The sequence below is a fragment of the Homo sapiens genome, chromosome 20 (assembly GCF_000001405.40).
Source record: "Homo sapiens chromosome 20, GRCh38.p14 Primary Assembly".
Lineage (NCBI taxonomy): Eukaryota > Metazoa > Chordata > Mammalia > Primates > Hominidae > Homo > Homo sapiens.
Genome location: NC_000020.11, coordinates 48,252,559 through 48,268,001, shown reverse-complemented (window position 1 = coordinate 48,268,001; position 15,443 = coordinate 48,252,559). Strand labels below are relative to the sequence as shown.

The 15,443-nt window shown below is 43.0% G+C and overlaps 3 annotated features.

Annotated features, from left to right (window-relative positions):
• Positions 967-1,494: an enhancer, noted in NCBI's record as "NANOG hESC enhancer chr20:46895251-46895778 (GRCh37/hg19 assembly coordinates)". NCBI's record gives its function as "activates a minimal SCP1, AML or CMV promoter by ChIP-STARR-seq in naive H9 embryonic stem cells {active_cell/tissue: H9 hESC(naive)}" and the evidence as "EXISTENCE:reporter gene assay evidence [ECO:0000049][PMID:30033119]".
• Positions 1,896-3,095: an enhancer, noted in NCBI's record as "CDK7 strongly-dependent group 2 enhancer chr20:46893650-46894849 (GRCh37/hg19 assembly coordinates)". NCBI's record gives its function as "activates an origin of replication core promoter dependent on BRD2, BRD4, P300/CBP, MED14 and CDK7 cofactors, with strong dependence on CDK7, by STARR-seq in HCT116 cells {active_cell/tissue: HCT116}" and the evidence as "EXISTENCE:reporter gene assay evidence [ECO:0000049][PMID:35650434]".
• Positions 7,417-7,917: an enhancer, noted in NCBI's record as "H3K4me1 hESC enhancer chr20:46888828-46889328 (GRCh37/hg19 assembly coordinates)". NCBI's record gives its function as "activates a minimal SCP1, AML or CMV promoter by ChIP-STARR-seq in naive H9 embryonic stem cells {active_cell/tissue: H9 hESC(naive)}" and the evidence as "EXISTENCE:reporter gene assay evidence [ECO:0000049][PMID:30033119]".

Genomic DNA, 15,443 nt, shown 5'->3' with positions numbered 1-15,443 from the left:
TTTCCTTCCACCAATCACCTTCTAATCCCAGAATCCACCCCCTAAACCCGCCTCAGTGGGCTGTGTTGAAGAAGACAGGTGAGGAACACACTCCATCGGTGGTGATCAGGGTTGTAAGGAAAAGCAAAACACAGTAAAGTGGGTCCTTGGGAGGGCGTCCTTTCTAAGGCAGTAATTCTATTTTGATAGAAAATGACTGCCTCAAAGCCAGCACAGAGAGACGAATTTGAGCTGGACTCCTGTGTCCTTGCTGGTTAAATTGCAATAGAAAAGCTTTTCTTTTCTCAAAACCCTGGTGTTATAGTATTGGTTTCCAGTGCATCAGTCAGTGAACCCCTTTTGCCTAGTAACAACAAGGCCTCTGAGCAGAGAAGCCCCAGCCCTAGTTTCTGTCCTGGGGAAAACCATGACTTCTCCCATCCTCTGCCCACTGATATTGTTCAGTAAGAGCAGCCACTCACCTGAGCAGTCAAGAGGGATGGAGAAAGAGCAGTGGCCTTTGTGCCCAAAGGCCAGGTCCAAGTCCTAGCTCCATTCACTGCAGACAGTATGACATCAACCAGGATGTTTCCACCCTTGACACCTTACCTGGGAACTACGGTTGGGAATTGGGTGACCTAGAATATATTTTTAATACTGATTTCATAGATATCCAGATGTCTCTTCTCCTAAAGACTGCTCTGTGCAGAGCACTATAGGAAATTCAGAGCCTTAAAGAAATCACGTGTGCACAAAGATAGACACCCAGGAGCAGCTAACTCTTAGTGACCGTCTATTAAAACAGCGGCTACTCTTCCTCCATCTCAGAGGAGTGGGGACGAAGCAGCAAGAGCAATGGCATCTCTTTGCTTTGTATGTTTTATTTTATTTTAGAGACAGGGTCTCTCTCTCTCTCTCTCTCTATCACCCAGGTGGGAGTGCAGTGGCGCAATCACGGCTCACTGTAACCTCAAACTCCTTGGCTCAAGCAATCCTCCCACCTCAGCCTTCCGAGTAGCTGGGACCACAGTAATGCACCACCACATCTGGCTAATTGTTGTTGTTGTTGTTGTTGTTGTTTTTCTTTTGTGTAGAGATGGGGCCTCACTCTGTTGCCCAGGCTGATCTCAAATGCCTGGACTCAAGCGATCCTCCCACCTTGGCTTCCCAAAGTGCTGGGATTAGAAGTGTGAGCCACCATGCCTGGACCCCTTTGCTTTGTAAACTGTCAGTTGTAATTCATTTGCCTCCTCGTTAACACCTTACAGCAGTAAACGGGGAAGGTACTGTGTTGCTAAACAACACAGGTTGTACTGCCGCTCAGCTCATACCCTGAAAACCAAGTTGCAGTGAGCCCGGCTGGACACAGAACAAGCCTGGAGTGTGGCCGAGGCTCCTGGTTAGTTTCTTCCTCTTTTATTTCTTGGCCCTGCCCATCCCACTTCAAGATGGGTTTGATGAGGTTATCACTGGGCCCTTGCTACTCTGTTGATAGGTTTGGGGCTAGGGACATTTCTGCTCTTTGCCCCAGATTATCCATACTCGGGTAAAATGATACCTCCATCCTTGGAAGATGGACCTCCAGGTTGGTTTATCCTGAAGTCTCACTCAGCTAACGCCCTGCTCATATCTGCAGCATCCTCATCATCAACCATCCAGGAGCTGCTGTAACCAACCTACACCCCTCCACACCACAGTCCCAGGAATATCCCCTGTGCTACCTTCCTCTCTGAAAGGTTTGAGAAAGGGGTTTGAGCAACTGGAATGAAAATGGGAAAGATGGTTTCTAGGCAGTTTCAAAGCAGAACCAAGCACAAAATGAAAACATGGGGCCCCTCATTCAAAACTTATTGAGAATTTCAAGAGAGCCAAGCATTAAACCTAACATGGGGCCCTTCTAAACGGAGGCACCATGAGACTGCACAGCTCGCATGTCCACAGAGCCAGGCTTTTCCAGGGGCCTGGAAGTCTTCATGGGCTGAAGTCAGGCTGCACGTCTTTTGAAAATAATTACAAGCCTCATTTTCCATTCATCTCTATTGCATGAGTTTCAGGCAGTCAGGCTGTGCATAGCTAATCAAAGCCAGAGCCGAAGGCCGCCCAGTTTGATCTCAGAACAAGCAGACGGAGGCTGCAGAGGCTTGTGTGTGAACTTTGTAAGGCCCATGTGTGATGTCCAGGATGTCAGCGAAGTAAAGAAACTGCTCCCCAAAGCCTCCAATCTCCAACTTCAAGCAGCATTCTCACACTTTGTACTCAAAGGATGGTAACTGCTGCTGCTGTATTATACTATTTCAGATTCCAGCTAAATGGTTCTCCATTTTCTGAATGTCCTCATTATTACTGTCTTTTGATTTTTATAAAATCAAGTTTTTATCTATCAATGTCTATGTCTATGTCTCAGTGTGGCGAGGGCTGTGACAAGCCAAGGTGACTAGTCTGGATGCTGTGCTTGTGCCGATAGATGGGTTTTTCTTAGCTTTTATTTTTATTCCAGGTGGAGCGATATGGGGAGGCCTGGAGAGGGAGATGAAAGCCGATCAAAGCCACCCCTTCTGCTGTCAGCTAGAAGGAAATTGACAAATCTTTTACTCCATCAGAAAATTCAGCTTAAAAAAATCATTTAAAGAGATCCAGAACCCAACCACTTCTCATGACTTCCACCCCCACGTCCTAGTCCAAGCCATTGTCCCCATGGCCATGTCCTCCAAACTGGTCTTCCTGCTTCCACATTTACTTTTTGCCATACAGAAGTCAAAGTTATCTTCTTAAAAAACATTGGTTTGGTATTTTTACAATCTGGCTTAAAATGCTCCCATGAGTTCCGTAAGTACTTAGAACAAAACCCATTCTGGTTCCTGCTGTCTACCAAGCACCACATGGCCTAGAAGTCACCACCTCCCTGGCCTCCTCACCTGTTTCCCTCTTCCATGCTCTGCTGCCCAGCCATGTTGGTTGCTTGAGGCTCCTTGAACAAATCAAGCCCATTAGTATTTTATGGCCTTTGCCTCTGCTGTTTCCTCTGCCTGGAATGCTGGCTCCACATGCATCCACATGTAAATTAGGAGAACGGCCCCTAAAAGATGTCCATGCTCTAATTTCTGGAACCTGGGAATATAATAAGATTAACCTGAGTTATTTCGGAGGATACAATGGAATCTCATTAGCCTTGAATAACAGAAAAGAATGGCCAAAAAGTCAGAGAGATTTGAAGCTCTGGAAGGATTCAATGTGCCTTCTGTTTGGGCCATGTGGAAAGTGAGAAGGAAACGAATTCTACTAATACCAGAAGCTTGGAAGAGGACTCCGAGCTCCAGGTGAGAACCGTATCTCTAGCTGACACCTTGATTTTGGGCCAATGAGATTCTGAGAAGCGTATCTAGCCATGCTGTGTTGAACTTCTGACCTACAGAACTATGGAGTTTGTCACATGTACGTGTGTTGTTTAAAGCTGATAAATGTGTGGTCATTCATTCCAGAAGGAACTGTCTTGTTTCCTAGTGGATCCCCATCACCTGCATCAGTGCTTGGCTCAGCAGTTGCTCAATAAATTTTTATTGAATGAAGACATGACTGAATGAATGGCTTCTTTGCCCATTTTACAAATAATCTGAGACTTAGAGTAGGAAAATACCTATCCAGGGACACATCTGAAAGCTGCTGACCCAACCAGATGTGAACCCAGAGCTCCAACACCCAGTCCCAGACTCACTCCCTCAGTTCCCTTTTCTGCTCTCTTCCAGGTTTCTAATAACTTCTTTGATTTCAATTTGAGGCTGGGGTGAGTTAACCGAAAGTTCAAGGGGGCAGGTCTTCATTTTATTTATTGATTCCTTCAACAAATATTTATTTGAGCACCTATTTTGTGCCAAGCACTATCCTAGTGTGGGACTGTGGGTGGGCTCTTTCTTTTCTCTTTGCAAATGAGATGTTGGAGCAGAGATGGGAGTGAGATGTGGCCATGAGCATTGGAAGGGCAAAGAGCATCCCGGGCAGGGAGAGCAAGTACAAAGGCTCTGAGATGGGAGTGTTCTTGGTGTCTTCCAGGGATGCAGAGAGACTATATGGCTGGATCGAAGTGACAGAAGGGGGTAGCATGTTATCAAATCAGAAGGCCATGGAGGGAACAGATGCTGCACGCTGTGAAGCCATGGTGAAGTCTCAAGATGTGAGCCATTGGAGGATTTTATATAGACGAGTGGCACGATCTGGTTTCTTTTACATGGAAGCCAACTGGCGGCCATGTGGGGAATGGATGGTAGGGAGCAAGGGCAGACCTGGGGGACCTGTTAGTGTATTGTAGTTGTCCAGGCTAGAGACAATGTTGACTTAGCTCAAGGTTTCTCAGCCTTAACATCGTGGACATTTTGGGCCAGATAATTCTTTGTCGTAGGGGCTATCCTGTGCACTGCAGAATGTTTAGCAGTGTCCCTGGCCCACTGGATGCCAGTAACACTCTTAACCCAGTTGTAACAATCAAAACTTTCTTCAGATACTCCCAGCTACCCCTTAGGGAAAAAAATTGGCCCCTGTTGGGAACCATCACCTTTGCTGGACTGTTCTTACTGTTTCTAGCTACATCTTGCCCACATAAGCCAGGCTCTTCTCTCCCCACAAGTGCCTCTCTCTCTCTCTGTAAATTTGGGGACTGTTGTTTGCTCTGCAACCTCAGGATTTTGTTGGGCTCTGGAAAAGGCATGCACTTGTTGCTTGTCTGGTTTTTTCCTTTGGAGGGTTGGGAGCTATGCTCTTTCCAGCTTTCAATAACTCTGAAAAGAAATCAGAATACTTTTCTCCCATTTTAGCAAGGACAAAAATATTCCCAGAAGCCTCCAGCTGACTGGCCCTTCCAGCTCCTTGGCCAGCAGTGCTCAAGTGCCCACCTGTGGGATTGTCATGATTGACAGGGTTGTTCTCTCCCCTTGAACTGGACCTGTTGCTGCCCAAACAGATCCCATTTTTATTAGCAAAGAAGAGGTAAGCAACCAGCAGCTCCTGCTGCAAACTTTGTCATGTTCACTTGTTACATCTGTTTCACCTCCTAGGCTCTAAGTTCCCCTGAAGCAGGTGACATGTCCTCTTTATAACTCCTGTGGTTGCTATGATCTGGTACTTAACTTAATAACATCTGTCAAATGAATGACTCCATGAGCAGGAGTCGTATCAGAGATGTCCAAGGCTGCCATGTGTTCTGATCACCTGACATCAAGACACCCTCTGCCAGATCTCACAGTGGCCTCTCTCAGTGCATCCTCGAGGGGGAGGCCCGGCTTCCTGCTCTGAAATGGGAGGCTCAGAACCGGTCTGTGCTGTGCATTTATACTCTCCTTCATCTCACTCAATCCAACACAATGTCCCTGCAGTGTCGCTGATATCATCACTACTCTCAAGATGCGGAAATGGAAGCCTGGGGAGGTCAGCCAAGGATTTACCAGCCAGTGGGAACAGAGCCCAGGTTAGAACCTCAGCCCTAGGGCTACTGCGCTCTGCTTACACTAAATCATTACTGCCATTAATCAGCTCATAAGTGAACTTTCTAGAAAGGAGTTGTAAAACCAGGTGTGCTGTCCCAAAAAGAGCCCTAAATGGAATTGCACATATGGGAGGATGGATCCTGCCTTTCCCCTTTAGGAAACTCTTGGCCAGGTGCTTGGCTCACACCTGTAATCTTAGCACTTTGGGGGACTGAGGTGGGCAGATCACTTGAGCCCAGGAGTTTGAGAGCAGCCTGGACAACATAGTGGGACCCTGTCTCTACAAAACATACAAAATTAGTTGGGTGTGGTGGTGCATGTCTGTAGTCCCAGCTACTCGGGAGGCTAAAGTGAGAGGATCACTTGAGCCCAGGAGGTTAAGCCTGCAGCGAGCCATGATCACGCTGCTGCATGCCAGCCTGGGCTACAGGGCAAGACTCTGTCTCAAAATATATACATATAATAATAATAAATAAGAAAACTCTCGTCCACCAAAAATCCGTGTACTTTACCTTGTCCATAGAGATCTATAGCTGTGCTTCCTGGAGGCACCTTAGTCATTTTAATATTCACTTACGTGTATACTAATGCTGCTTGTATGCTTCTGTTGCATCACACAGTGAAATCCCCATGTTCAATCTTCCCTGCCCACTTATCCAGAAAATAACTATTAGTGAATTATAGAGCAAACAGACAAATTGTCACCTTTATCTGTGTTCTCAGAACCGTGATATTAACTGGCCATAACCCTCTTGTCTTTCATTAGTGAGAATTTAGAGTAACCACCATCACTCCCTGAGGTCACACATAAAACAGCTCAAAGATGACTGCAATTAAACCAGTTTATAAATTTCCCACCTCCCAACTAACCCACTCTTCATGAAGGTGCTCTATTGGGCATTGGGTATCAGTATAAATTAGACGCTACAATCACATGTAATTAAGCAGGGGGTAATGGAATAGATACCGTGCTGCAGAGATTAGTCCTGTTTTGCTGAAGCGAATTCATCTCCGTGTCAGTGTGTTCACCCAGGGAGGCAGCATGAGAAGTAATTATCTTTCTTCTGACTTAATGGTGGTTATGCTGCCATTTTTTATTACCATAATTTCTCAAGACTCATACACAGATCCCTTTCTCCTAATGCGATTGCAGTTCTACATACAAGACAGCTTATGCCTAGGTGAAAACTCAAGCAGAATTAACCATAAGACTATATAGTTATAGTTGATGCTGGAATTTGTATTTTTAAACCCAGAGCACCACGGTCCCCACTCAGGAGTAGAGAATTTAGATCATGATCCTTTGAGGGTGACTGCAGCAACTTTTGCTCTTGAAAGGCAATTTTCAGCCAAATTTCGGGGCCACCTGTGCTCCAGGTCTGTGGGCTTATTTTCCAAAGCCTCCGAATGCATCCCAGGCCACAGCCATTTTTCCTACTTTTAATGTTTCTCCTTCACACACTGATTTGTTTGACATGCTGAGAGCTTGACTTTTACAACCTTCATAAAATCCCATCTGCTACAACCCAAACTCAGCCAGAAAGTGCTCAGACAAAAATGGTACAGGTTGTATTATAGTCTCTTGATGGAGATTAAAAAATACACACTGAGTGATTTTTTTCCTTTTTTTTTTTTTTTGTTGTTGCCTATAAGTCAAGGAAATAAAACAGCAACTCCAGCTTTGCAAGGTAGATGGAACCAGGGGGTGTTCTGCACAAAAGGGCTGCCAAGGAATTTGCAGGCTGAAGAAGCGAGGTGTGGAAGCATCAAGAGAATGGTCCCCTTGAGGTTAAATCAACAATAAGGAGAGAGTTGGGGTGGCGTGAGGAGCTTGAAAGGCTTGATTGTGCAGCCAGGATGATCGCACAAGATGATGTCATGGGTGACGAAGGACACGGGAGGAGAAAGGCTGTGGGTGGAGGTGGCAGGGACTGGAGCATTGGGAGGCCGTGGGGGTCCTGAGGATTCTGCTGAGCCCCATCCAGGCCCGGCTGAGTCATGGCTGAGTGACTTCCCAGGCTGGGGACATCTGAGGCTCTAAAGGTCCTAAGTCTCCCAGGCAGACACCGAGCTCTGGAATGGGGCCAGCCATCCCCAGCTGCCTAGAAGGACCTGGAAAACAGGCTGAGGCCTTGAATACAGAGGACCAGGGAGTTTGCTGGGAATTATGGGGAGGAAACACGGCTCAGGGAGTTTTACAGATCCTCTGACATCATGGGTGTCTGAGCTGGTGAGTTAAGACCAGCCTACAACACATGACCCACAGCTCCTGCCTACAGTGAACACACACACACGCGCACACGTGCTCATCGGAACACACATGTGCATAATACTACTGTGTAGTCATTTGTTCATTTGTTCTGCAAGCATTTCTGGAGCACCTCCTCGTGCCGGGTACTGCATTCTGTTCCAAGGAAACGTGGATGAACAGGACCCGGTTCCTAGGCACCAGCAGCTCCTGGTACTCTCAGACAACTGGGAAAAGAGATGGGGTCTGAAGTGGAAAGATATAAGAAGTCTGAAATCCTACTTTGCATGTTGGCCTCAGTCCAAAATTCCTCACCTGCTCAGAGACCAAAGACCACACCCCCTGCATGCAGTAGGCCCAGTACACAGTAGGAAGAGCAAGCCAGACCTGCCTGTGACAACCCTCTCTTCCTCCTCCCTCTTCTTGAAAGCTTTGATTCATTCCCTGCCCCGCTTCTGGACAGTCTTTCTGCAGCTTGTTTTAATCACTTTTTGAGTTAAAAGTCAGTATTTAATTAACCAAGTAATTACATTCAGCTTACGTTTCAATCTGGTGCAGGTTTGCTCCTCTGTGCAGGTTGGGACCCCTGCCCTCTTGCCCCTCCATCTGTCCCCTGTCTCTTTCCCACAGGGCCCACCCTCACCTTTGGGGCAGAGACTGGGAGGCTGTGCTGGAGCAGGTTCTCGGCGGGAGACAGGAAGCAGGTGAGACGGGCTTCCCTTGGAGACGCCCCTGTATTTCACTGGGTAGTAAAGGGGATTTCTTACTGCACCTCTGCCTCCCATTACAGAAACCCCAAAAGGTTCTAGTTAGATTAAAGCTAATCATTAAGTGGCAAAGGGGGTGAGGAAGACAGGATGAAGACATTTCACCCTGTAGAAGATGTTCTCCCCACTTTGCTTGTCCCATGTCATACAGAAGAGGAAACTCAACCTGACAGCCTGTCAGGCGTGTAGTCTAGAGTTCTAATAAGAAACTTGAAAGGTGAAGGTGGTGGGCTTGACCGATGGCACGTGGGACATTTGCACATTAAGGTCCCTTCCTTCCCTGGCCAAGTTTATGTACATAAAGTCATGATGTTGGCACCACTGCTGCACCTGAGATTTGGGTGGATAAGACTGTGAGTAGATGCACACACAAACACATACACACATTTTATTTGAACTTGAGACTTTTTCTGAAACTCTAATAACCTACTAAGTTTCCAAATGTATTGACTGATCCATGAATTGACTGTAAAATGCCCAGCTTGGAGGAGCACAAAGCGTCCATATGTGTGTCCTGTGTGTGTGCATTTGTGTGCACATCTGTGAGTCTATCTGCCCAGGATACAACTCACATTCAACCATCATCCCAAGGACCTGGTTAATGCGCAGCTGCAATTGCCAACCCAAAGGGATACCCATGATGCTTGGAATCTATCTGTTGATCCACTTATCGTTTGTAGGGCATTTTTGAAAATTATCCAAATAATATTACCCCATTCCATGTCCTTTTGTTTGAAGGCACCAGGAACGGCTGCTGTTGGGTGGGGAGTTTGTACCCAGTGTTAAGTGCCAAACATCCTGGAACGTTTCCCAAAGGATGGGGCAGGGGCCACTGATAAACAGAAGGATTAGAGAATCGGCTCCATGATTAAGGTAGTTCACATGAAATACCACCAAATCAGGCACTAAAAAGTTATCCCCTTTTCCACTTTCTGCCAGCCCTCCCAGAACCTCAGATAGAAAGATCCAGGTTGGGCCAGGCTTAGTGGCTCACTCTTGTAATCCCAGCAATTTGGGAGTCCGATCACCTGAGGTCAGGAGTTCTAGACCAGTCTGGCCAACATGGTAAAACCCCATCTCTACTAAAATACAAAAATTAGCCAGGCTTAGCGGTGTGTGCCTGTAATCCCAGCTACTCAGGAGGCTGAGGCAGGAGAATCACTTGAACCTGGGAGGTAGAGGTTGCAGTGAGCCAAGATGGCACCACTGCACTCCAGCTTGGGTGACAAAGCAAGACTCCGTCTCAAAAAAAAAGGTAAAAATGAAAGTTCCAGGTTGGTGCAAATAGGTCTTCACAGTGGCCTGAAAAGAGAGAGATGGAGAAACAGAGACAGAGAGAGAAGATGGGGCCAGGGGTAGTTTAAAAGGAATATTTTGTGGTTGGAAATTAGCAATATTGTTTTGTTTTGGCTTTTTAAATTTTTTTTTTTACTGTGAAATAACTTAGATCCACAGAGAGTGGCAAGGAACTGTTTAAGGAGGTCCTATGTACCCTTCACCCAGCCTCCCCCAATCATCACATCTTGCATCACTAAAGTACAATATGACAAGCTGGAAATTGACATAGGTGCAATCCACAGAGCTTATGTAGATTTCACCAGTTATGCAATTTTATCACATATGCGGTTTTGAGTAACCACCACCATAGTCAAGCTACAGAACTGTCCCGTCACTTCAAGGGTCCCTCTGCCTCCCTCTAGGACCACACTAGCCAGTCCCTAACCCCCTGCAACCTCTAACTGATCTCCATCTCTAGAATTTTTTAAATTTCAAAAATGTTATATAAAGGGAATCATACAGCATGTAACATTTTGGTGTTGGCTTATTCTTCTAGTAAGCATCATTCCCTTGATGTTCATTTTGGTTGCTGTGTGCAGCAATAATTTCTCCTTTTTATTGCTGACATATTCCACATTATGGATGTTCCAGGGTTTGTTTAATCATTCACCCATTGAAGGACATTGGTATAGTTTCCAGTGTGGGGCCATTATGAATAAAGTTGCTGTGAAATTTTCTGTAGAAGCTTTTACATGAACATATGTTTTATTTCTGTGGAATAAAGGCCTATAAGTGCAATTTCTGGATCTATGGTAAGTCTATTTTTAGCTTTAAAAGAAACCGTCCTATAGTTATGGAACAAGATAGTACAGGTTCACTTTTCCCTACTCTTCCCCTCATAATACAACTAAATGCCCTAGAAATAATTTAACAGACAAGCATAAAGCGCTCTGAAAGACGGAATGAAGAAGATGCACTGGCTAAGAACCTTAGGACTTTGATAATGACACCTAAGTTGAGTTACTTGTCTTGTTGTTGTTGTTGTTGTAACTTCCCATACACCCTACACTAGGCACTGGAGAGGCCGGCAACCCGGAACCACAAATAGGGATACATGAACTCAAAACCAAATGCAACAGCTGGAAGGGGGCAGTGTCATGGAGCCCACACATAGCAGCAGCAGTGGCTCCAGCAAAGCTTCCAGGGCTTAGTTGGCCTGTCCCACACCCCATGCTCACTGGACACATGCATCCCTTCTTTGTGGTACCAGAAAACCTGGAGTCTCCAGCCCCTCCATCTAATGGCAGAGGGTAACTTAGACCTGGTGTCCCTGAGGCTTCCACCCAGCAGAAGAAGGTGAACCAGGCTTTGAGTCTCCACCCTCAACTCATGGCAGTCACCTACTGGGACCTCTCAACATCTGTTTCTCTACCCAGCAGCAAAAGAAGGCCAGGTAGGAGCTTCCTTCCCCTGTGGCACCAGCAGAGATAGAGTGAGAAGCCCATTGGCTTGTTTATGTCTCCAAAAAGCCATTTGGGATTTTAACAGAAATTGCATTAAACATCAATGAATTAGGGAGAGAATTGGCATTTTCACTATGTTGTCTCCCAGTCCATAAACAAAGTTGTTCCAGTTGTTTAGTTCTTTAATTTCTTTCATCAAGATTTTATAATTTTCAGCATATAAATCTTTTCCATGTTTTGCTGATTTTACACCTAAGTATTTCGTTTTCTTTGGAGCAACTGTATGTGGTATTGCACTTTAAATTTCAGGTTCTATTTGTTTATTATTAGGATATATAAATGCAATTGATTTTGTATATTCATCTTGTATCACACAATCTTGCTGAACTCACTAAATTATTCTAGGAGGGTTCCTTGTTTTGGTAGATTCTTTGGGATTTTCTTTGTAGGCAATGATGTCATCTTCAAATAGAGACTGCTGCATTTCTTCTGTTTACCTTCTATTTCTTTTTCTTGCCTTATTGTATTGTCTAGAACTTCTAGTACTATGTTGAATAAAAGGGGTGAAAAGGGACATTTTTCTTTTTATCCAAGCAGGATATTATCTATCTTGATGCCTCATTCCTGGTGGTAGAGGCAAAACATTCAGTTTTTCACCATGAAGCATGATGTTAAGTTTAGGTTTTCATTGATGATTTTTACGAGATTGAGAACATTACCCTCCAATTCTAGTGTGCTGAGCATTTTTATCATGAATAAGTGTTTCTTCTGCATCAATTAAAAAGATTTTTCTTCTTCAGCCTGTGGATACGGTGGATTATATTGATTGATGTTTTGAATATTAAACTAGCCTTGCATACTTGGCATTAATCCTCCTTGGTCATGTCATGTAGTGTTTTCTATACATTGTTGAATTCAATTTTGTAATGTATTTGAAGATTTTTATATCTAAGTTTGTGAGAGATATTTGTCTATAGTTTTCTATTTTTATAGTTTTCAATTTTTTACTTTTTATATAGTTTTCTATTTCTATTTTTATCTGGATTGGGTATCAAAATAGTATTGGCCTCATAAAATGAGCTGGGAAGTGTTCTCTCTTCTATTTTCTGGAAGACACTGTAACATTGGTATAAAATGTTCTTTTTAAATGTTAGCTAAAATTCTCCAGTGAAACCATCTTGGCCTGGAGATTCTTTTTCAGGATCTTATAGTGTTACTATGGTAATTAGTTTCATCTTGATTGGATTTGGTAGCTTATGGTTTTTAAAAGCTGGTCAATTTCTTACAAATTATAGAATTTATGAGTATAAAGTTATTCATAGCATTTTCTTTTTATCCCTTTAATGACCATAGAATCTGTAGTGATATCCTCTGTTTTGTTCCTGGGATTAATGATTTGTTTCTCTTTTTATCTTTGTCAATCTTGCAAACATATGTCAATTATATTGAGCCTTTCAAAGAACCTATTCTTTGTTTCATTGATTTTATGTTTTGCTTTTCTGTTTTCAACTTCATTCGTTTCTGTTCTTATCTTTATTATTTCCTTCTTTCTGCTCACTTTGGGTTTACTTTACTCTTTTTACCTACTTTCTTGAGGTAGGACTTGGATTATTGATTTGAGCTTTTTCCTTTTTTTCTAATGTAGGCACTTAGTACTCCAAAGTTATTTCTCAGCATGACTTTAACTACATCTCACACATTTTGATATGTCGTATTTTCATTATCATTCAGTTCTATGTATTTTTTTTTATTTTCTTGGAGACTTCTTCTTTTACTCATGGGTTATGTAGAATTGAGCTGTTTAATAGTCATACATTTGAAGATTTTCCTGTTGTCTTTCTATTATTGATTTCTAGTTTATTTCATTATGGTAAGAGAGTGTTCTCTTTGTGGTTTCAATTTTTTAAACTTTGTTAAACTCTACTTTATAAACCAGGAGACAATCTACCTTGGTGAATGTCCCATGTAAGCTTAGGAAGAATGTACATTTCTGTTGTTGTTGGATGAAGTAAACTATACATGTCAATTAGATCCAGTTGATTTATGATATTGTTCAGTTTAACTGTATCCTTACTGATTTCCTTCCTGTTAGATCTGTCTACTAGATGTGTCAATTACTGATAGAAAATGTCAAATGCTGATATCTTAGGTCCTGACATCTCCAGTTGTAATTGTGGATTTATCTATTTCTCCTTTCAGCTCTATCAGTTTTTGTTTCATGTATTTCAAAGCTCCATTGGTTGGTGCATACACATTTAGGATCACTATTCTTCTCTATGGATTGATCCTTTTATACTTATGTAATGTCTCTTATTGACCCTACTAATGTCTTTGCTCTAAAGTCTATTTAATCTAATATTAATATAAACACTCCATTTTATTAAATCAATATCCGCATGATACAACTTTTTTTTTTTTTTTTGAGATGGCGTTTCACTCTTGTTGCCTAGGCTAGTGTGCAATGGCTCGAACTCAGCTCACTGCAACCTCCACCTTCCAGGCTCAAGCAATTCTGCTGCCTCAGCCTCCCAAGTAGCTGGGATTACAGGCATGCACCACCACACCCAGCTAATTTTTTCTGTTTTTAGTAGAGACCGGGTTTTACCATGTTGGCCAGGCTGGTTTTGAACTCCTGACCTCAGATGATCCACCCACCTTGGCCTCCCAAAGTGCTGGGATTACAGGCATGAGCCGCTGGACCTGGCCCATGATACAACTTTATCCATTCTTTAGGTTTCAGCTTATGTGTCATTATATTTGAAGTGAGTTTCTTGTATGCAGATGTACCTGACTTGTATTTCTCAATCCACTCTCTCTCTTAATCAGTACAGTTAGACCATTGACATTTGAAGTAATTACGGATATGTTAGAGCTAAGAACTGAGATTTTATTATTTATTTTCTCTGTTTACCCTCTGTTTCTCTTTTCTTGCCTTCCTGTGGGTTTCTGAATGATTTTTAGAATTCCATTTTGATTTATTTATGTATTAGAGTATATTGCTTTGTATATTTTGCTCAGTGGCTGCCTATATACATACACAGTTTATTGTAAATACTGCTATCACTGTTTCAACACTTAGCCTGAAGCATCCAGGCCTTCCTGCTACTTAGGTCCCTTTCCCCTTCACGCTTTTACAATATAATTGTCTTAAGTGTTGCTTTCATACATTGAGAATCACATCACATGATGTTATTATTTTTGTTTCAACCAACACATATAATATAAGAAACTCATGAGGTGAAAACTAGTAAAATCGTTTATGTTTACCCTATTTTTATCCATTCACAATATTCTTGTTTTCTTTCTGGAATTTCAAGAATTCTGCTCCTGGTTTGTTACTGCCTATCTAGTTACATTTGAGGTGAGTTTCTTGTGACAACATATAATTGGGTCATGTTTTAAACTCACTCTGCCAATCTTTTGTTTTAATTAGATCATTGATAGGGTTTGGGTCTGTGTCCGCATCCAAATCTCATCTTGTATTGTAATCCCCAGTGTTGGAGGTGGGGCCTGGTGGGAGGTGATTGGATCATGGGGATGGAGTTCTCATGAGTGGTTCAGCACCATACACCTTGGTACTGTATAGTGAGTGAGTTCTCATGAGATCTTGTTGTTTCAAAGTGTGTAGCATCTCCCCACCCCGCTTCCTCCTGCTCCAGCCACGTAAGATGCTTTCTCTGGCTTCGCATTCTGCCATGAGTAAAAGCTCCCTGAGGCCTTCCCACCCATGCTTCCTGTACAGCCTGCAGAGCTGTAGGCCAATTAAACCCCTTTTTAAAATAAATTACCCTGTCTCAGGTATTTCTTTATAGCAATGTGAGAAGAGACTAATACAACTATCAACATTTAATGTCGTTACCATACTAGGGCTTAAGTCTGCCATTTTATTTTTTGTTTGCTTCTTCTGGTTTTAATTTTTCTGTTTTATTTTCCTTTCTTTTTTTGTGGTCTTCCTGTGAGTTATTTGAATATTTTTTAGAGTTCTGGTTTGATATATCTATGGTATTTTTAAGTGTATCTCTCCAGGTAGCTTTTTTAGTGGTTATTCTAGGTATACATGTAAATTAGTCTACTGATGTCATCATTTCATCAGTTTGAGTCAAATGTAGAGCACTTACCTCCATAATTATGGCTTTTCTTGTATCTGCATAAGCGTCATACCAGGATCTCTCAACCTTGTCCCTACTGACATTTTTGGTTAGATCTTTCTTTGTTGTGGATGGCTGGCATCTAG